A 22582-nucleotide genomic window follows, 5' to 3' on the forward strand; every position below is an offset into this window, starting at 1 on the left:
TGATTTCTATAAACCCATATATTTCCAAAAGACAAAATGAAGGAAAATACAAGCACATGTAAGATCTATTTCTGAAACTTTATTTCCAATTTAGAGTGTGTGAACTGGCACATGGTAGGTAGTATAGCAAGTGGTCAACAAATGTTTGTCCAGTGAATGAATGGTTGCACTGTGATGAGCTTCATATGCCAAATGGGTAGATAGTGGCATTTGGGGGCAAGTTTCTTACCTGCAAGCATTTCTGGGTCAATGTCTGTGGATGGCTGCAGGTACCACAGAGACTTTGAACACTGCACCATACCAAAGGAACATGTTACCTTATGTCTGGTTCGGCAAAGATAGGAGGATGGTAGCCAAAAATGGTTTTCCCCACCTGTTTTATTTTCATGGGGATTTGATTTACAAAATTTGAATTACTTATTTTTAGAAAACGATTTTAGAGGTAAAACTGCCAAATTGCTACTGGACCTGGAGTCCTAGGATAGCCCATCTGTTCTGCCTGTAACATTGGGTGTTGCCATCCTTCTGAAGAGACGGCTTGTGCAAACTTGGGAACCAAGGCAAAAATCGCACTTATGTTTTCAAAATTTATCAAAAGCACTTCTATGTGTCAGACACAGGGCTGTGCCCTCTACACACACACATCAAGCAAATAAGCTGAAGTGGAGCTGACCATAGGGGAAGGAGTGCATATCATATCCCTTCAGGAGTTCAGGCGAAGCTGACAGTCATGAGTCTGGGTGCTTATGAATGTTCTCTTTCTCTTTTATGAATTGTTTCTGGGCATCCATGTTCCAGATTAAGTTGAGACCATACCATGGAGGCATACAAAGATGACAATTCTTAATTATTACTTATATTTGACCCCTTTCCAAAAAAACCTGAGGTAGCTTACACAGATATGAAAAATAGACTTAGATAAAAATAAAACACCATTAAAAGCACATAATTATCAACACAGTAAAACTTGCAAAATTAGAAGAATAATGGTAATATCTAGTGGCATACTCTAATGTCCTGCAGTCATTTATGTTGAGCTGCAGTGTGGACTCTGAATGTCCCAGCAGCCAGTGTAGACAGAAGTGTGATCAGTTACCTAATTCGATCATGCATGATGGATATATATTAGTTGCTCAGGAAAAATGTGTATTCTTAGACTTGGGACATGGAGAAATTGTTACTACGGGGTTCCGTAGACACAATTTGCTGTGTTGTTCTGAACCAAGTTCTTAATAACATTCTGATAATAAGTGTAACAGAGAGACTATAAAACCTCTTGGTGTCTGCCATGCTTATAATGCCAAAGTGTCCCTCATGGGATTGATGAGGAATGATTGTCCAGGAACGCAGCTTTCTATGGCCAGATGCAACAAGAGTTTTCATGGAATAGACATTCTATCTGACATCAAATCTTGTTTATTTATTTTTCATAAATGAGCTGTCACTAAGTCTTAGAGAACAGAACTGGTGACATGCCAGTCCCTGATTTAAAGACTCTCAGGGCATAATAGCTGTTTGCGACATGTTTCTCACTTTTCCTTCCTTCCCATGCTTGAGTCCCCAGTTTCTAGAGATTTCTTTCTTTTTTCCCCCTCACCAATGCCCACTCTTGAAAAAGCACCGATTAGTGAGAGCCAATCTCTGGATTCTTTGCTCCACCTTAGGAGGGCAGTCATTGTTTTTGATATCATTTAAAGACTTCTGCTTCAGGGTGTCCCTAATATAAGCTCTGATACCCTCACATTATAAAGGCAGTTGAACTCTTGCGAGACTGGAAAAAATTCATCCATCAACTAGAATACAAGGCAGAGAAGCTGAGAATGATGAATTGTAATTGGTAAACGCTTTGCCACCTGAAAAAGATCAGCACAGCCACCCTGGGACAGAGGTGGGGCACTGGTGTGCTTCTCCCCATGCACTGTATTACCAGGGTCTAGGCACCCAATGGCTGCATATGAGAATGCTACCCAGCCATTCTGACCTTCTTTTTTTTTTTTTTTTTTTTTTTTTTTGAGACGGAGTCTCGCTCTGTCGCACAGGCTGAAGTGGTGCAGTAGCCGCGATCTTGGCTCACTGCAAGCTCCGCCTCCCGGGTTCACGCCATTCTCCTGCCTCAGCCTCACGAGTAGCTGGGAGTACAGGCGCCCGCCACCACGCCCGGCTAATTTTTTTTGTATTTTTAGTAGAAACGGGGTTTCACCCTGTTAGCCAGGATGGTCTTGATCTCCTGACCTCGTGATCCGCCTGCCTCGGCCTCCCAAAGTGCTGGGATTACAGGCGTGAGCTACCACGCCCAGCCGATACAGCCCATTTTTAAAAGGTGATCTTTTTTTGTAGCATTACTACTCTCCACCCTCCTCATCAGAAGCTTCCATTCACTATGTGGTAAGAGATATTAAACAAAACAAAAGACAAATGATAGAAGAGGATTGGCTATAGAATGTTGCCTTTAGAGAAGTGTCAGTATCAGAAGCAAAGCACTGTAGGTGAGGCTGAGGACAGAAAATAAGCCCAGAAGGACTGACCTGAGCAGAAGCTTCAATCTGTACCCATGTGGCCAGACAATAATTTAGGACCTGGAGAAAACTTCCTTAACATGAAAAAGAATATCTGTGTTCAATTCAGCAGCTGACTGCAAACATACTTCATGGTGAAATGCTATGGATGTTCCTTCCAAAATAAGGAAAAAATAAAAATTACAATTATTACTTAACTTTTTTTTGCAGATGTTGTGTATTTGCAAATGTTTAATCAGTCTGGCTAATTAAAGTGCCAGATATTCTGTTAAGCATTGGGAACAAAATGATGTGAAAAACATATACGGTTCCTAGCCTCATGGAGTTTCCAGTTTGTAAGGGGGATAGATAGCCATTAAGTAATCATATGTAGCATGTGAAACAGAATTAATGATAAAGCTGCAGAGAGCTCCATGGGTACTTTGAGCATATGTAACTGAAGGAGTTGATCTAGAAGGAAGGCTTCCCAGAGAAAGTGAGTCTAAAACTCAAGTGGAAAGATGTTAAGAGTTTACTAGGTGAAGAGGGGTACTTAGAACAGTTCTAGAAATGACACGTTAGAGGGGGCTTGGACAGGTGGGTGTTTGCAGTGGTAGCAGAGGCTGGTAAAGTAGATAAGAACCAGCTATGTTGTGCACTAGAGGCCATAGTAGGGAGCTTCATCATTATCTTGAAAGAAACAGAAAGACATTGACATTTGATGCATTCAGGTGGCATGATCATTTCATGTTGAAGATTGTCCAGGTGACAGTACTGAGAATAAACTAGGAGGCTGTCAGTGGGAAAGAGGGTAGACTTGGCAGGAAGCTCTGGCCTCAGTGAAGGTGAGAGCTGACGTGAACTTGGACAAGAGTGGCATTGGTGGGGAAGAGAAGTGGACAGGTTCAGCCAGCACAGTAGTACATGGAACAGAATTGAGAGGAAGGATATTGGAAGGAGGAGCACAGTGCTCTCATTTACTGGAAATACAATTATCTACCTAGAAAACTAAAGATGATTAGGGAAAATTCTTTTCAATTATTAAGAATTCAACAAAAAGCCAAATTATAGAATATTATATATGGATATCCTATATTTCAGCAAAAAGAAGATGCTATAATAAAGAAGTTAGTGTATTCATAATAGCAAAAGAATATAAAATACCCAACAATAACATAAATAAGAAATGCATGAGAACAAAAAAAGAAATAATTTACTTATAAATATAAAGGAGGACCCACACGAGTGAGTAAAAATAGATATCCTTCAAAGAGAAGAATACATATTGTAAAGGTATCAATTCCTTCCAAATCTATTTATAGATTGAATACAATACTGATGTCAGAAATTCCATAAAGATTTCAAAAATCATGACAAAATAATTTGACAATTCATCTGGAACATAAACAGATAAATAATTTAAATTTTTGTTACAGTTTACTTTAAATGGTTGCTTTTTTAATAGAAAGGAAGGGAAGGAATTTCCCTACCAGATATCAAACACTATAAAGCTACAGTTATTAAAAAAATTAAATATGTGATTCTGGTGCAAAGCTCACCTAACATTTTAATAAAAAGAGGAGATATTGCCTTGAAGCAGATGGCAGCATACAATAAAAGTTTCATTACAACCCCATAGGGAAGGAATGGCTATGCAACAAATAGGGCTGGGTTTAACAATGCAGTTGTAGGAAAGATTCCCATAGGAAGGTCTTTCTTGTTTTCAGCCACAATGGTTGATCAAAATTATCATGGTAAAAACAAAAACAAAAAACTTGTAAATTTTTTGAGCTTTGAATTTTGCACTAGAGACTAACTCACAGAGCTTTTTCAGGAATTGATATCCATAATAAAGTTAAAGTCTTACTCCAACACTTTTCTTTGTAAATAGAAGGTAAAGAAGCACCGTAATACAAAGACTTTGTAATGTTCCTTCTCAGCTGTAGGTACTACCCGATTTGGTGACAAAGTGTGATGAGTCTATAAATTGAATATGTATTTTATCTCCTCCAGGTCCCAAAATATTTTTGTCCAGTATGTTCTTAATAGCTTTGTATTCTTTAGATTTTTTTTAAGTGGTCCCTCAAACAACTGATTCAGAAGTATGCTGGCATACATGCATATTTGGTGATCTTTAGTGTATTTAAATGCTACTTGATGGGAAGAAATACTAGCAGGTTTTTTCTCTTCTCTCTGCCTGCAGTTACAGATTCACTTCCATATAACACTCAGAATGATATGGCTAAAGAGAAACATCTAAAGTTTATGCATATTTCAAAATGTTTCTAATTTCATTTCAATTTCCTATGAGACCCACAGTTTCTACATTTATTTAACGAAGCCATTAAATATCCCATTGGCTTTGGGGAAATGAAGATTCAGAGCAACAGCATTTTCTGAGTATGTGTGATTCAGGCACTATGGGGTGTGTAGTGGAGAGTTAGAGATGAAGCAGGCCTTGTGCCTGTCTCTTGAGACCTCATAGTCAAGGTCTATGTGAGCCCCCACACTCTTGCCCAGTCCCCTTTGACCAATGTGATCAGTGGTCACCTTTGCTCATGGGGTTGCCTATTATATCTGGGTTAAAACCCTTTTTCTGTGAAAAATGACATGATCTTGTGGGGATCCAATCTCAACTTCAGTCTTGGTCTCTGGCACACTGTTCTCAATCATAACCCATAGAAACAATTCTTTTAGTTTAAAGTTGGGTAGTTATAAACTTGCTTTTGAGGGGGCAGAGAGAGGGAAGGAAGTTGGAAACATTGATTACAAGGCAGAATTAAATACTAACACTAATTTCTCATTTCAATTTAAGCAAAAAGGGGGCCTTTCTGAGAGTTCTTATGCTTTTGAAACATTAAAGATTGGGAAGGTGCACCCTATGGATAATAGTGACGAGCTTCATACATCTGAGGCCATCCTCTTGACTCTCCTTGCTCAGGAAAATTTCCTATTTGGGAGAATGAAGAGCACAAACCAGATAGTATATTCAACTATGGAAAAATAATGACAAATTTCATTCAGCAACTACATGGAAGAGAAAGTTTGATTTCCAAATTGTAGTCATTTTATTGCAGTACCTGATCATAAGAGAGTAAAACCTTCAATTGAAGTTACAAAGAATAGGGCAATGATACATGTCAGCCTTTCATGTCTTCCAATAAAGTCTCAGTCACTCCCCACAATTAATTACCCTTCTTAGTGAAGATCTGGATAGTTCATTGCTTAGTACTAATCCCTGTGAACAGGCTCTCTCTTTCCATTGATTTATCTAGATTTGCACTAGTATTTACTATTTAGGCATCATTCACTTTGTAGAACCCCTGCAATTCATAGATCTCTGATTGCTTCCCATGCACTATGCTATGGGTTTTGGCATGCATTATCTTACTCAATTCTCACATGTTGTAGGTAGATTATAATTTTCAACTCACATAGTTAAGAATAAATAACCAATAGAGGCTTTGAACAGAAAGTAAGTGGCTTTGTTGCCTGGATTCATCCATTTATAATGAAGTAATTAATATATGGCAATTAAAAAAAATCCCAGCTGCTTCTCCGAATAGACAGAGAAACCAATATCACAGAACAAATGATGCATATTATGTGAGGAATCATTTGTGTGCCTTCCTAAGTTATGGAACTGTTAGGTCAGTAGGTACCCACTGGGTTAGAGGAAGGTTCAACAGAACCTTTTGGGCTTACTGAACATATTCATGTGCAGGATTGGTGCTGGTATGGGGAATTCAGACACTAATAATCTGCCCTTTCTCCATGAGGCTCTCAGTGTGGTGGGTGCAGTGGTAAGTGAGGGTGTGATGCATTGATATTGAATACTGGAACAAAGCTGTGTGCATCCAGTGATGACCACTGGAGCTGCCCACCCAGGCAGAGGCACAGGACCTCTAAGCTGAGAAAAGCCTTCAAGGGTGGGTGGGCCCATGCAGGCATCTTGCAGGAGATGAGATTTGCCCTGGCTCTGAAGCCTGATTTAACCACAGTAGGTCATCCTTACTCAAACTGGCTCTGGCAGGAAAGCAGTCCCAAGTACTAAGAGTTTCTTACAGGGGCGGGCTTATGGTGCCGTGGGGCCAGGACTCCAGCTCCACTTCTCTGCAATGACTCTCAGCTGCACCCTCTGAGTTTTGGGTTGCAGTACAATGACACGGAAGTCCCAGGAGCCAAATCCAGACAGGATGAAGGCCCAGGGGAAGAACAAAAACGTCTTTTTCTCATTCTCTGAAGCAAGAAAAACATTCCCAGAATTCCCCCAGAGCATTGGCCAGAATTGCATTACATGACAGATACTAAACCAGTCACTGACAAAGGGAGGGAGATAACTCTGATTGGCTTGAATCGATCAAAGTTTCCTCTTAGAACTGGGGATAAGGAGTAGCTTGGGAGCAGGTGACTTTCTGAAAGTGATCTGGGTTCTGTTAGAAGGAAGAATGAACAGAAAGACATTGTGCTGCAGGTGAACAGCTGAGCACATTATGCACAGAGATATTTCATTTTTTAGATAATTAGAATAGGGAGAGGACATTCTACACAGGGCAAAAGTGAAGCTGCCTCTTTTGAGGAGAAATGGTTAATTTAGCTGAAGCATGAAAGCAAGAGGGGGAATCACTGCAGAAGAAGATATTCTGGACAACAATACAATTATGATATCAGAGAACTCTTAATTTCTCAAAAACACTTCACTGACTCTCACATCAACTAGAACAGCAAGTATCAACAGAGAAATCTGAAGTCCAGAGCAGGTGAGTAAATCTTCCAAGGTCACACAGCCTGTAAACAACAAGGTCTGGTGACTCTTGCCTGGGATCCTTTTGCAGTTCCTTGGCAATTAGTTGAGGCAGGTATATTAGTTATCTATTGCTGCGTAACAAATTATCCCAAATTTGGGAGCAGATCAGCTGAGTGGTCCTGACTCTGCTGAGATTGCACTGAAGCTGTCAACTGGGACAAACCATCTAAGGCTTGTGTGGGGCTGCAGGATCTGCATCTAAGCTCGGTTGCATGGACTTTGGCAGAAGGCCTCAGTTCTTCCCCATGTGAACCTCTCCACAGGGACCTCTCCACAGGGCTTCTTGCATTTCCTTATGGCTTGGTAGTGGCTTCCACTAGAGCCAGCAATAAGAGAGAAAGAGCAGGACAGAAGCTTCAATGACCTGTATTACCTAAATTTGGATGCCACTACATTCTGTTGGTTAGAAGTGAGTCAGTAATTTCAGCTCATACTCAGAGGAAAGGTAATTAATCTCTACCTTTTGATGGGAGGAGTATCAAAGAACTTATGGGCATATTTTAAAACCATCACAGCAGCAAAAATGCAACATGCATCCTGACATCTGGGATGAGTTCACCATAGAGAAGTCATTCAATCTGAAGGCATTAAAATACAAAAATGGTACTCCACAACGATAATAGACCAGATGACTCAATAGGAACCGTGGTGATGGTGGCGACTGGGATTTGACTGAGGCTCACCAACAAAAACCTCAATTATATTGGTTCCAAAGCTATGCATAAATTCGGAGAGAGAGCGTCTAATATGAATGGTGGTAGGGAGTAGGTGAAATTCCCTGCTCATCATTCTGCCCTAGTAATATGCATTAAATGCTCACTATTATAATCAAAATGACACACCATCCTTCTTTCTGCTGACTGTGGGGCCTCAGGATACCTAGGTCTCTGTCTCAAGGTTGGGCAGTTTTTCCCATGATCAGAAAATACAAGATCTTTTACTAGTACCCTCTTAGCAGTTTCCAAAATGCTGGAGAGAGCTCAGCATTCTTGGACCAGAAAGGCAAGCACAGAGTGGTACCTCCCCCTACCCCTTCTACAGCCCCAGTGAGGACTTTCAATCCAGTGGCCTCATCCCAGGGAACCTTGGGAGAGCTGGCAAATACTCTAAACAGATAAAAGATAATTGAACAAGGAGTGAGTAGTAAACGGTGACAAAGTGCTATTTCCATAATAAGCTTATCTGAGTAAACTTTCTCAGAGCCCCTGAGTTCCAGAGCAGGGTGTGGATTTGGCAATAGTAAAGAAACAGGCCACGCCAGGAATGTCTGGGGAGCTAATGAATGCCCCTGAAGTGGTTGACGTTCCTATCTCTGCTTTGGATCCCTGCCACCTTGACTCGAATGTCAGACGGTGTTTAATTGGCAAACAGGGCTTCAAAGGGTTGCTGGGCCCTGCTCCCAGGGCCCTGGGGCTGTTAATGTTTAATTGTCATGTGCAAGGGCCCACTAGCTCTTGGTAGATTTGGGTGTTTTATTGCACTTTGAAAAAGCAACGTTATGAGTCTCCTTCTTGCTCCATGGACATTTTTACAGACATGCCTTGGAGTCACATGTTGCCTCACCTAAACTCTGAGTAGCAAAGTCACCATGTTATTCAGCAGGGTTAGAGAGAAACACCTTCAAGCTGAAAATACTCCAGATTTACTGCCTGTGTCCTAAAATCAACAAATATTGATTTCTTTGGAGCATCTGGATCAGCAACAGAGGAAAAAAAAAGAAACTGAGTTGGGGGTGTAGGTTTAGGGAAGAGAAAAAAGACACAGAAGTGAAATTGCTAAATGGCAGATCATACAATTTCTTCATTGAACGCTGGTGGCATCCACTCTCCTTGACACTGGCTCTGTTACTCATGGCTCTGCTGGAAATGCAAATCTTTAAAAAAATCCCTCTCCCTAAAAGGGCCTATTTGCTTTATATTGTTCATGTAATTTAAAAAGTCTAGAGATTGTCTTAATAAGACTTTATAGCCTTCCTCTAATTACATAGGGAAGAATAAGAAATAATAGAAGACAAATACTTTTTTTTTTCTAAACTACATGGAAATTGTGAATAAAGGAGTAGCTTCCAACTTCCTGACATTTGAAAAGCACTGTTTTGAATTGAATATGAATGATTCCTTTGAATTTTCAATTCAATTCCATTTAATTGAACACATCTTCATTGAGTGCTTACTAAGTGTTCATATCAAACAATTTCTTTGGTTTTGAATTAGTGGCTTTTACAGAAATTGTTTCTTTTGTTGAATTCTGGAAATGTATCGGTTTGTTGTTTTAATCATCCTTTTGCTGATTGTGAATATCTCTCTAAGGAAGGAATGTAAGGAGAAATATCTAATTACACCACTTATATCAGAATGGCAAAGTGTATATTTATCTTGTTTGTTAATTATATATGTCACAGCTAAAGACCAAACATCAACTAATGTCGACATTAGCCAGAAGGGCCTGGCACACATCAAGAGCTGGGTGGATCACAAATAAAATACAATATAGCAAGTGGAAAGCACATAGACCTTTTTATGTGTTTATGTTGAATCAAATTTTTTTGTTCTTTTTTGCACATTCTACGTTCCAAACAGCCAGATTTTCATATGGTTGATCTCTAAGAAGTAGGTTTTACAGTAGAATTGCCACTATGAACAGGTTTCAGGGTCTCCCAGCATGTGTTAGATTTTCAAGGCAATGTAGCAGACACTTAGAATCTTCCAAAGGATGTAATCTCTTTTCTTTAGCTCTCTTGTTTGCCTCAGTTCCCATTCCTTCCGTCCCTACCGCTGATTTAGCGATTCCTCTCCTTTGACAAGCGGTAAGCAGACAACCCCTTCCAATCAAAGCCGGTGCTATGAAGTTCAATCACATCCAGGGTTCTCAGCCCCAGAGCTTCCGCCGCCTATGAATGTAGATGGGGGAATAGTCTATTGTGCACAAAGCACGTGCCCTCCAAATCCATATGCACAGTTAATTAGTTGAGAGCCCTAAAATGTTATGTGATTCCTTTCTTAATAGAAATGAGAAGTTGTAAAGATGAGAGGCCTTTATTCACACTTTATCAGCTATTTTAAATTAAGGGGTATATTATCCTCTGGATAGATTTACAGGAACACCCATTATGCACCTAACTCCTATTATCATTAATGGCGGTAAATGCATGCACACACAAGCTCAGCACTCCGGGCTTTACACAAGAGGCCACTCTTTTCCTCCTGTTATTAACAATTCCTGCTTCACATTTCTTAAATATCTGCAAAATGAAACAAAACATTGTTCACAACTTAAAGACTATCTGGGTATATGTTTTTCAAAGGAAATTAGATTGGTACATTACATAGGTTTGCAAATTTACATTATGATAGCAAGTGATTATGACCGCTGCCGCTCACCCTCTTTGAATCTCCCTAGAGGTGAACACACAGGGCCAGGGGTGCAGAAGGGGGTGGCAAGGGGTCGAGATTTCCCATGACAGCGTGGCATAAGGATCTGCTGGCAAGGAGTTGGAACTTTAGCCTGTCGACTGTTTTCTTTCAGTGTTGGCAAAGCCAGCACTGAAATGTATGGAAGAGATAGAAAAGTGAGAGAATAGACTGCTAAGCAGAACTTCCAACTATGGGGAAGAGGCTATTAAAATATCAATTCATTAACTCATTCATTTCTTATTTATCCATCCATTCCTTTGCTCACAAATATGTATTAAATACCTAGTGTGTGTGTGCCTAGCAGGGTGCTGGGCTATGAGGACCTAACAGTGAAGAAAGATTAGAGCTTTGTACCAAGGAAACTCACAGTTTAGTGAAACTATAAAATTAAACAACGAATTGCACAGTTAGCTGTGTGATCCAGGAGACATGCAAGTAGCCATGAAGAACTTGGCTGAGTGGAGGGGACAGGCAGGAGAGACGCCTCAGGAATAAATGCAGAGCCTAACTCTGAAATGAATGCAGAAATCATCATGGTGATAGGAGATGGTTTAGGAAGAGCTTGCTGGGTGGGAGGAACAGCATGAGCAAAAACCTGAGGAAAGCAAGTTCCAAATTCTGGACCGGCCAGTCAGTAATAACAATGATTGGTCCTTCCTTCTGAAATACTGTACAGAAGGGTGCATTTACTTTTCCCCCTGCTAAAACAGGCATGTAATAAGGGTCACCATTTACTACCATGCATCAGTGTGCCATGAAGCTGAAGCTAGACCCCAGCCAAATGAATTCTTAGGGTTTGAGTTGTAACATCAGCACAATCTCTACTAAATGCCCCGCTCCCCACTCCCACTGGACAAATCACCTCTGTGCTCCCTCTGCACAAGGGTCAAATTTGGAGGGATGGGCTGTGGAAATCCTCTATACCTGTGTTTGTCAAATGATCTCTAAGGAAGGATCAGGTTCTTAAAAATTCTGTTGTAAATGGATACTTTTATAAAATGTAATCAAAATGAATTACTAGAAAAATGATTATGCACTTTGACGTCATGACCATATCAATTTCTGGAAAACTCTTCTGAATGCTTACTCTCAATATATGTACTTATCTCATTGCAGATTGATAGCACATGGCTTGCAGACCACACCTCCCCTTCAAGACTAAGACTATCCCTATGTTCCACACCTTGCCTCACTGACTTCCAGCCAGACTGTCAGCTAGGACTATATCTACAACTCTCGAAATTATTTACATTTCCTGCCTGGGTCACCTCTTGGGCAAGAGGTTTTCCTGTATTACACCCCCACAGCAAGAAATATTATTTTATTAATTAGAAACTCTAAGAGGCACTCACCTCAAGTCCTGGTATTTCTAGGGCTGGGAAAGTGATCCCAGGTGTTTCATGCCTGTTTCATGCTTTCTTTTCTAAAAACTTCAACATTCATGTAAGGACTAAGATTCAAAAGCCAGCAGCATAGCAGATTGGAAAATCTGGGCTAATGACTCTCAGCATTTGCTCGGGGCTGGAGACCCAGACAGTCAGAACAGGAGACCTTTAGACTCATTGTTCTATGGATGTGCCTGGGGGTCTAAGAAGGACATCTCCAACCCTGCTGGTGGGTTGGGAGAAAGACAAGCAAAGGCAAGTGATTGACTACAAAGCAGAGTGCAGTGAGATCCCTGCATGGGCTCTGGTCCCTGCTGGAGCTCTCTTTTGGCAGGCAGCCTGTGGGAATCTGTAGTATGACCAGTCAGGAACTTGGCCCTGGGAAGTTGGAGGTATGGATATAACACAAGTCCCTGAGAACTTTGAGGAAGGAACCCCAAGAGATATCAACTTCCCTGTTGCTTGCTTTTCTTCCTCTGCATGACTTTATGGACTTGAAGGAGGACCTCAATGCTTAGTTTGCACCTCACTTATCTTACTTGGAGCTATTGTACTGGGTTATCTTGCCTACCAACATGACTCAATTATTTCACTGAAACCAGTAACTTCCAAATTATATCTCTAATGTACATTCTTTTCTGAGCTCCAGATTACATATCAAATTAACTCCTAACTCTACCTGATAGACTGACCAACGCTTCCCCTCAAAGATGTCCATGTCTTAGTCCTCAAAACCTGTGAATAAGTTATCTTTACATAGCAAAAGACACCTTGCCAATGTGATTAAGTTAAGGATCTTGAGACAAGGCGATGGTCCTGGATTATCCAGGTGAGCCCAAGGGCATCACAAGGAACCACAGAAGAGGGAGGCAAAAGGGTCAGAGTCAGAGGAGATGTGATGACAGAAGCAGAGGTCGGAGTGGTGAAGGGTCATGAGCCAAGGAATGTGGGCAGACCCTAGAAGATAGAGAAGAAAAGGGACAAATGCCCCTGTGGAATACAACTCAATTCCAGAAGGAATTCAACTCTGCCAGCCCCTTGGTTTTAGCCTAAGACTATGTCACACTTCTGATCTTCAAAACTGTACAATAATCAATATGAGTGGTTTTAAGCCACTTAGTTTGTGGTAATTTTTTACATCAGTAGTAGGAAACCAGTACACCCCTGGGTATCCCAAACTCACCATCTGCCCTCCAAAATGTGATGCTTCCTCTGAACCGTTCATTTCAAGACATAGTACACGACTCTGCTAGTTCCCAAACTAGAAACATGGAGGTCATCCCAACACCTCCCACTCGCTTACCCACAACGTCCAGTGGCTTTGTTTTAAGACAAAGTGTTTAAAGACAAAGTTCAAAATCCTTAAAGGGATCCACAGGGCCCTGAAAAGTGTCCCAGGATCTCACTGACCTCCCTGGCATCCATCTTTGGCTGGATGGGTCTTTTGAGAATGTCTAGAGATAGCTCACACGTTCATACTTGCTCCTAAGCCAGCCTGGAAGGCACCCATCCCTCCTCCACCACCCACATCACTGGCAACTTTTTGAGGAATCAACTCTCATGGCTTTTCCTCCAAGAAGCCTTGTCTGTATCCACTGCTGAAGTTAGGTGCCCACTTCCCTAAATTCTCACCCTTCAGTCTTGTAAGAGTCACCACAAGTATTATGTTCAATTTATCTCCTTCCAGTTATTCTGCCATCTCATGAAGGCAGGAACCACAACTGTCTGGCTCTTGACTATAGGCCGTGTTGCTGCACAAAAGCAGACACTCAGTACTATTTACTGAAAACAAAAACAAAATAAAAAGAATAGGTGAGCAAGATTCCGGGAGGAGCTCAGGGATAGGATCTGGGATGTAGCCACAGTGGGGAGACTCAGCAAGTCTCGGACTCTCTGCTCACCTGGAAAGATGCTGATGGAGGGTTTTGCTTGGCCCTTGTCCAGAATGAATCCATGGATCTGCCCTGACAGATCAGGGGCTGCAGGCTCCCCAGTGGTTGTTCAGGATCTGGGTGGTAGATCATAATCAGAACTGATGTTTCTTGAGCTCTTACGTAACAGGCGCTACACCAAGTGCTTTAGTGGATTAACTCATTTAATCCTCACCTGAACTCCATGTTGCTATGGAGTTTCCAACATGGATTCAAAGTGAGGATTAAATGAATTGATTCTTTGTCATTAATGTTATTAATAACTTAATAACAATTGCATTTAACAGATGAAACAACTGAGGTAGAGAAAGGTTAAGTGTTTTGCCTAAGATCAGACATCTTATAAGTGACAGAGCTGGGATCTGAACCCACACACACTGACCCTAAAGTCCTTGTCTTAAACAATGTGTTGTGCTTCCTACAGCATGAAGGCAGGGACTCGCTGAGGTTACGTGAACCGGTCTCCAACCATTGATATTGGCCCATTTACTTATTTCACAGGTATTTGCTGCTAATCTACTGGGTGGTAGACACTGTGCTAGGTGTTAGGAATCCGCAGATGAATGTCAGTTGCCTTCAAAAAGTGTGGACTTGAGTGAGAAGGCAAAAAAGAATGAGTATGATGTGATGTGGCAAGAGGGGACATGGAAACCCAGGACAGGACTTAGACCTGCTTCCTGGGTTTTGAAAGGGTTGTAAACTGCCTAGGTGAAGGAGAGGAGAGGAAGGGCCACCAGGTAGACGAAAAAGTGTGTGCGAGGGCACAGGCATGGGAGAGCAAGACCTGTCGGGGTAAATTGCTCGTAATTCTTCCAGCTCAGTGTGGCGGAAAGGAGGGTGTGGAGTGGTGCTATAGGGGTGTGGGGAAGATGAGGCAGACTGGGGTCAGCCTACGAAGACTGGGAACACCATGCCGAGGACCCCAGTGTCACGTCATTCCTACCAGCCCAGGAAAGCAGGGACTGCCTTTCTTCTCCTGCCTGTGTCACCACTCAGTTCCCAGCCTGAAGAGATGCATGCAAGCTATTCAGCAATGACAACAGTTGGTGTGAATTGACCAACTGGATCAGATGCTGGCCCAGGTAAACAGCTGGAGCCTCCTGGCAGCATATCAGTTCATCCTTAGCTCCAGCACATGGTGACATTCTCTCCAAAGCTGTGAGGACAGTGGAGGAAAGTGTATTTTGTCATTTCTTAGGACAAGAGCATGGGAACAACCATCTCCTGGAATGGCCCTTCCACAGGAAGAGAGGAGGACACATGGCACAGAGGAAGGATGGGGCACCTGGATTCAAAATCTGCTTACACCATCCACGGAGCCTGGGATGTTGAAGAATTAGTTTTTTCTCTTGGAACTTGCTTTCCTTACTTGTAAAATAAAGTTAATCCTACAAACACTACAAGGCCATTGTGAGGGTCAAATGAGACCAGGCATGGTAAAGTATCTTGTAAACAGCAAATTACGAAAAACAAATACAAACAAAACAGAAAACGTAAAACAACAACAAAGGTCTTGGTTCTAAAGGACATGAAACTTTCATTTGACCCAATTTAGAGATCATTCATTCCTTCAACAAATAATAATTGAAGCCCTGCGATGTGCCATACCTTCACACATTCTAAGAATTATTCCTATTTACACACTTTCAAGAAACCTATCATTTCCGGTTGGGAAGGACACCCACAGCATCCCCTCTACCCCGGCCCCCATTGGAACCCATGGGGATGCCTCTGCTGCTTTCTCATTTTCTTTCCTTGGCCTTGTCCCACCTGAATCACTACTGAATTCCTCCTCTAACAGCTTCTTTCTGGGTGCCCTTGACTGGCAGAAGCAGCCATGGCCTCTGCTTTAAGATGAGCTCAGCTTGTGTAAAGAGTGCAGATTAACTAATATAGGCTTCTCTGTTAGAGGGAGCCAAGTATATTTGTGCACTTGCCCAGCCAAGGAAGTCATTGTCCCTTTCTTAGAGGCCTTCCAGAGTGTCAGTGTCTTAATCTAAATGGGCAGCTCTCTGGTGAAGGCCCAGGTGCCAGGGGAAGCCAATCGAGGAGCCATTTACAAGTGGAGAGGGTGATAAAGGAGGTTTGAGTACTTCCATCATTACCACTGTCTGAAAGAAGCCTGCATTTACTATCAGAAGATCTCTGTCTATCTCTTCAGTTTCAGCAATCTCATTTGTAAAATTAGAATAATAATAATCTCCTTCTTTCAGGACTATTATAAGGAACAGATTAAAATAATGTACAGGAATCAACTCTGTGTATGATAAACTCCAGCGTGTTGGTCAACTCAGGCTGCCATAACAAAATACCACTGGTTGGGTGGCTTGACCAACAGAAATTTATTTTCTCACAGTTCTGGAGGTTGGCAATCCAAGATCAGGGAACTAGCATGGTTGATTATTTTCTGGTGAGGCCTCTCTCCTTGGCTTGCAGACAGCTGCCTTCTCACTCTGTCCTCAGGTGACCTTTTCTATGTGTGTGCACACCCCTGGTGTCTCTTTCTCTTTTTACACCCCTCACTGCCCCTTATAATCTCATTTAACCTTAATTACCTCCTCAAAGGCCCTGTCTCCAAATCCCTAGTCACTGTGGGGGCTAGGGATTCAACTTATGAATTTGGGGGGACATCACTCAATGCATAACATCTGGTATTCATGCAAACCATATTATCATAAATACTCAGTGCTCACCTCAGAAACAAACATGAATTGGTCATAAAGGTTTTTCAAAGCAAAATGTTTGGAAAACAAATCATGAGTTTGTAGGGACATTTCTAAAGCCAAACTGAAATGTTTCCTTTGACTTTCTCTTATTTCACCCACATCCCAGCTACACTTATTGGCCCTCAGGAGACAATATCCAGACTGGATTTCTTGGTGAGAAATGCCCCTTGGAGATCTCCTGCAGTCACTAGATGCAGAATCGTTTCTCCAGGGAGTGAGCTGGCCCTGCTCTCAGCTCTGAGCCTTCCCAGCTTCTGAGGCAAGACCCCAGATTCAGGCCCCGGACTCCCAGAGCTTTCTGTCATCAACTTCTCACTTGAAGTTCTGCCTTTAGTGCCAGGAACACAGCAAATGATACATTCAGCTCAGCATAGCTGGCTGCCCGGGAACAAACCTTTCTGTTTACCTGAAAGCTTGCCTGGTGTTGAAGGTTGCAAATAAAAAGTCACTCTTTTGAAGATAAATACCATTTTGAGTCATTTCTTTCAGGAGGTATTTCAGCCGGGTGTTCCCATTGCCATGGAGTACAGAAGGAGACTCAGCTGACAGACCTGTGAGGATGTAAGGAAACTTGCCAGGGATGTGAATCTAAGATCATTATTCTTGATCAGCCTGGGAATGAATAGAAAATGAGTCAGAGGCTCCCATGAAGCACATGGCAACAGGAATGGAACCAAAATGCCTATCTTCAAGGTAGCTCTTGATTGAGCTAAGCTTTTTGCTCTTTCAAAGCTTGTTTTGGTCCAAAACTATTTCTGATGGAAAGTAGCATTTATACACCAGAAAAAGAGCAATTGACATTTCTTTTTACATTCCATTGGGGCTGCTTAGCCCAGGTCACAGGGCAGAGGGGACTTGGGAGCTGAAGAAGAGAGGTCAAGAGCCCCAACCTGCAACTGGGGCTTGGGGGGCGCTGAGGCTGAATGGGGTGTCCTCTGGTAGGGGCCAGGGGGCACACGCAGTTAAATTTGTAACCCTTAATTATTTAGAGTTGTTGTTATCATTTTTCCTTTCTGTTTCTCTAGGTAGAGTCATTCATTTATGCAAAAGCAGTAAAAAGAATAGCCAATACCAGGCACTGGGAATGCAGAGATCAATAAGGGACTTTAAAAAAGTCTAAATCGAGAGGAGGACATAACAGCTGGGTGGGTGTCAGATTTTGTTTATTCAGCTGGTTAAATATGTCACTGAAGACCCATCTCTCTGCTCTACCAAACACAGCCTCAGTTCCAACCTGAAGCCCTTGCTGAGTTAAAATGATTGCCAGTAGTAAATGGGACTGTTCACTTTCTTGTCTATGCCTCTCTTCAAACCATACAACCTTCTGTATGGGGCTAATGTAGATGCACAACCCTGGCCCAATAACTGTTGTCAGTGAAAAGGCATCAGGTGATGGATTTAAGGATGGGATCCTGCACACTCCCATCTCTAGAAGGGGTCGGAGGTATCAGGATTGTCTTAGACCAAGCAGAGTTCTCAGATGAGCAGCATGAAAACACATTGCTGGTCTACAGTGGGAGGACAGAATGATGTTCTGGAGGCAATAGTAGCCAAGACCAGATTATAACTAACTCTTCCTGTTATTTTAATCCATGTTACTTGAAATTGACATGCACATAGTTTAACAGAAATCAATCTGTGTTTGCATGCTTATGATGGCAAAATGAAGAGCCATTCTCCCTCCCCTAACTCTGGGTCTCAAGTCTTAGAGGCAATCCTTAAAAGTCTTTTAACTATTTCTCGTTGGATTTAGCTCTTTGTCTTTAAGTAACACACTTATATTGATTTTTTTTTCTGACGAATATATTTACATATTATATATGACATTTCTCTACTGACAGGTGAGGATTTAGCATCTTGTTTCTGCCTCCACCACCACTACCCACACACACTCTTTCCCTGATTCCTGGGGCCTGCACACTACTGCCTACAGGCTGAATCCAGCCACCTGCCTGTTTTTCTGTAGTTCCTTAGATCAGGATGGATTTTACATTTTTAAAAAGTTGTGAACAGACACAAAAACAAAAATATGCTACAAAGCATGTATGTGGCCCACAAAACCTAAAATATTTACTGTCTTGCCTTTTACAGAATGTTTGCCATACCCTTATGTACCCTTCCAAAATAGTAGCATTTAAATTTTGGCAAAATTAGTAATAATTTTTTGCATTGTTATGATTAAGTAAATATTGTTTATTATGGGCATAAGTCCTGTGATAATATTCCCTGTTTTGTACAACTTTAAAAAAATCTGGCATTAATAATTGTACTCACCAGTCCAGGTGTTCATCAATTCTCAGTCTTTGCCAGGCTCTAGTCATTGTATCATATGTCTATTAACATTCCTTTTAAAATATCAAGACTATCATATAATGCACCTGCTTCTTTTTCATCTCAGAGACCTCTTTCCTGGGTCCCTCTGGCTTTCTGTTTCACCTTACCTTCTGTCTCCGGGCACAAATGCCATTCTGGTGCTTTGCTGGATCACCATTTCTTGAGTCCTATATCTTCTCCATCTTCTCTTCCCTTGGTATATACCTTTTTTTTTTTTCCAGGAGAACCTTCTCCAGTAACCTCCCAAGAAAGAAAATATAGAAAATGTGGGGGTTTTTTAAGGCCTTGATATCTACGGATGTCTTTATTCTATACTCACACCCTTGACATTTGGCTAGACGAAGAATTCTACTTTGAATTGGGATTTTTGTCTCAGAATGATGAAGGCAGGACTCCATTATCTTTTAGTATCCTTGTCTTTCATTCTCATTTAAGAGCAGGTCACTGGAAACCTCTGTGTCTGTGTGACCAAGCCGCTTGGTTGCTTGATTTCACTGTGTGGTGACAGCCGGAGGGAGGGTAAGACGAGTTGGCCATTTGTTAGGGCGTTCCCAGGTGCCCACATCTGGACGCCTCGTATCTGAGCTCTTTCGTTCTCATAGACAAGACTCCTGCATTTTCTGCCTTGAGGAGCGCATATCTGGCTTCCAGAGTTTTGGGGAAGAAGGCTGAATCCATTTCCCTTTAACCCTATTGTTTTCTGCACTGCCTTTCATCCCTCCCTCTCCTATATCTGGTGTCTGAGGCTACAGGTCACCATTTCAGTTTCTCTAAAAAACTAAACTGTGGTCCCTTGCTTGGTTATTTAAGGTCTGGGAGGAGACTTGCAGGCTTAAATGTTTCCCATTTTCATATTAAACCAAACCAGTCGTTTTAGCTTCACGTTTCCTTCACCTCCACTCCACTCCCTTCCTCCTGCCTACTGTAGTCTGTGGTTCCTGGCAAGCCCAGGTGCAAAGCTCCCTGATGGTTCTTTGGGACTTTGTGGTTTGCTTCGCAAGCACCTAAGGTGCTACTTTCTCCTCTCTGCCACTCTTTCATTCTACTTTGGTCTTCAAAAAATCTGATTTGCCTGCATCCTCAGTGACTCACTCTGTGAAAGGGGCAGGACAGAACTGAAAGATGGGACTGAAAAAAACGTTTTCCTAAGGAGGACTAAAGAGTGACTTGTAGGGTATAGTTTGTAGTAAGACACATTCAGAAACGATGGTGTCTCAGAATTCATTCAAAAACTGAGCTGTTATGTCCCAGGCTGTGTGCTAGGGGATGAATATGTATGACTTGGTCCCTGCACTCAGAGGCTGGGATGGGCGAGAGGGTAGATAGGTGAATCAACATGATGTAGCACCCAGAGAAGATGCACTGAAGCAAAGAAGTGCAGGAGCTAAAAACTCCAGACGAGAGACATTTAGTTCAGAAGGTTGGAGAAAACTTCCTGGTAAAGGGTGGAGATAGCTGAGTAGGTTGAACTTTTCAGTTAGTTGAATGAAGTAGTTGTTCTTAAGTTTCCCGGAGTCTCATGTAGGGTGGTCAGTCTCATCTTTTCTTAATCATGGGACCTGACTTAGCGTATCCTCCAAGCCTGGACCCTGTCCTATGGACACAGTTCAGTCTATCAGTACATGCGGAACGGGATTCTATGTCCCAGTTGCAGTGTGCAAGGGTAACATAGAAACCAGCTCTTCCTGAGTCTTACTTCCCAAGTCTTACTACGTGCCAGGAATTGTGCTGCTTCTCATGCATTTATCTCATAAAATGTTCATTGTAATTTTATGAGCTGGCTAGGTCCTTTTATATTATTCCCTTCATAAATGAAGAAACCTAGAGTTAGAGAATTGAAATCTCTTGCCAAAATATCTGCTATATATGGTAGGACCAGAAATTGAAGCCTAGTTATTTTGAATTGTAAGATTATACTCTCAACCACTAAGATATATCATGTCCCATTTTTTTAGGATTGCCCTTTTCTCTGGGAAGGGAGTGAAATGCTGGGCATACTGGGAGCGGTGGTGTGCTAGATGCAGGGATGCACTCTTAACTCAGAGTTCAAAACCAGCTCAGGCAGGCCCTGCTCTGGGCCAAGTCTATAAACTGGGAGGTGTCTGGGTTCATACAGGGTAAATGCTCATCCCCAGGTCTCAAGAAAATGCCATCTAAACAAGCAAGGACTTCACTCTAAGCCCTCTCCCAGAGCACAGAGTATGAAAGGCATTGGAGAAATAAGGACTTTCTCCCTGCTGCCCACAGCTCTGAGTTGGTTAATGAAATTGATGGGTCAGGAGCCACTGGCCTCCAAGGTTTATTAGTCCAGTCTTTGAGCTGACCCAAGCTGCAGGCACTCCAGACCGAGGCCACAAACTGTGAGGCCAGGGCTCAGCCAGTCCCCCTGCTTCTGAATCACCTCACATGACAGGCAGACCCTGTGGCTTCAGAGAGAGTTATGAGCTCTGGCATCCTGTAGTGAAAGAAACAGGCGTCTTCCCTCAGTCAACTGCCCTTGACACACCAAAAACATAATTCATGATTCATGAGAACTGTTTCTTTCTTCGGACAGAACCCTTGGCTTTGCTTTGGGCCCAGGAGTAAATTGGCCACAATCAACTCTCCTGAAGAAGTGGTTTCCCCACCACATAATTCTTCTTTTTGAGGACAATGGCTTTGCTCAATGTGGTACAGGGGAAGTTTAACCAAAGGAAAAACTGAGCCCACACTGATAAAATATCACTGTTATCAAGGGACCGCCAGGCGTGAGAGTTGAAGCACCCTCGCCTTGCGGTGGCTTCAGAGGCACCCTTTGTATACCTTTCCAACGGCCCCCAAGCATGGATGTCCCCTCCCCCTAACACACACAAGCAGTATCAACAATGCTAGAGTTCAAGCAATTCAGCCTTTATAACTGAAACTTATCCTCCAATCCTTCTTATCCCCCACATGATTCATGATGTTGCCTTTACCACCTGGCAGTCACCTCTCTAGGGCAGCCTGTGTGGCATTGGAGACACCACATACGACCTGGAGGAGCTGCTAGTGTTGACTATTGAATGTCTGCTATGTGTTGAAGAACTCTAATAGATGCTTACATTTGTTATCTCATTTAATCCCCAAAAACTCCATCAGGAAAATAGTATTTTTTTTTAATGTTTACAAACAGGTTCAAAGAGTCAAGCAAAGTTTTAAGATGACATATTTATAGTGTGGGGCTTCAACTAGGGCTATCTGAAGCAAAGGAGCACATGTAGGCTGCCACCTAAATGTCTCTACCTGTGTTAACCTGAGAACCAGGTCTAAGAAAAAAGGAAAACGAAACCTAGGTATGTTTTTGTACGGAATTTGGACAAACCTGCTGTTTCCACGAAATCCCAAAGTGCAATGGTTTTCTGACTCAGAAGCAGAAATACCTATGTGTGGACCCCAAGTGGGGAGCGTTGCCCAGTCTGGCCAAGACCTTCACTTGCAGGGAGACACTTTAAGTGTGGTGATGGAATGATGGG

At 42.2% G+C, this 22582-nt stretch overlaps 1 long non-coding RNA gene across 1 annotated transcript in view, besides 1 other annotated feature; it reads left to right on the forward strand.

Moving 5' to 3' along the window:
• Window positions 1–15724, forward strand: part of LOC107985855 (uncharacterized) — a 78008-nt gene extending 62284 nt beyond the window's left edge. The window contains exon 3 of the long non-coding RNA XR_001739298.1: window positions 15230–15724. This is a non-coding gene — a long non-coding RNA (uncharacterized LOC107985855). The remainder of the gene's footprint in view (window positions 1–15229) is intronic.
• Window positions 20287–20472: a silencer, noted in NCBI's record as "fragment chr2:16618830-16619015 (GRCh37/hg19 assembly coordinates)". NCBI's record gives its function as "represses an EF-1alpha promoter that drives an FKBP-Casp9 reporter gene in an ReSE screen in K562 erythroleukemia cells {active_cell/tissue: K562}" and the evidence as "EXISTENCE:reporter gene assay evidence [ECO:0000049][PMID:32094911]".

Source organism: Homo sapiens, chromosome 2 (genome assembly GCF_000001405.40).
Source record: "Homo sapiens chromosome 2, GRCh38.p14 Primary Assembly".
Taxonomy (NCBI): Eukaryota; Metazoa; Chordata; class Mammalia; order Primates; family Hominidae; genus Homo; species Homo sapiens.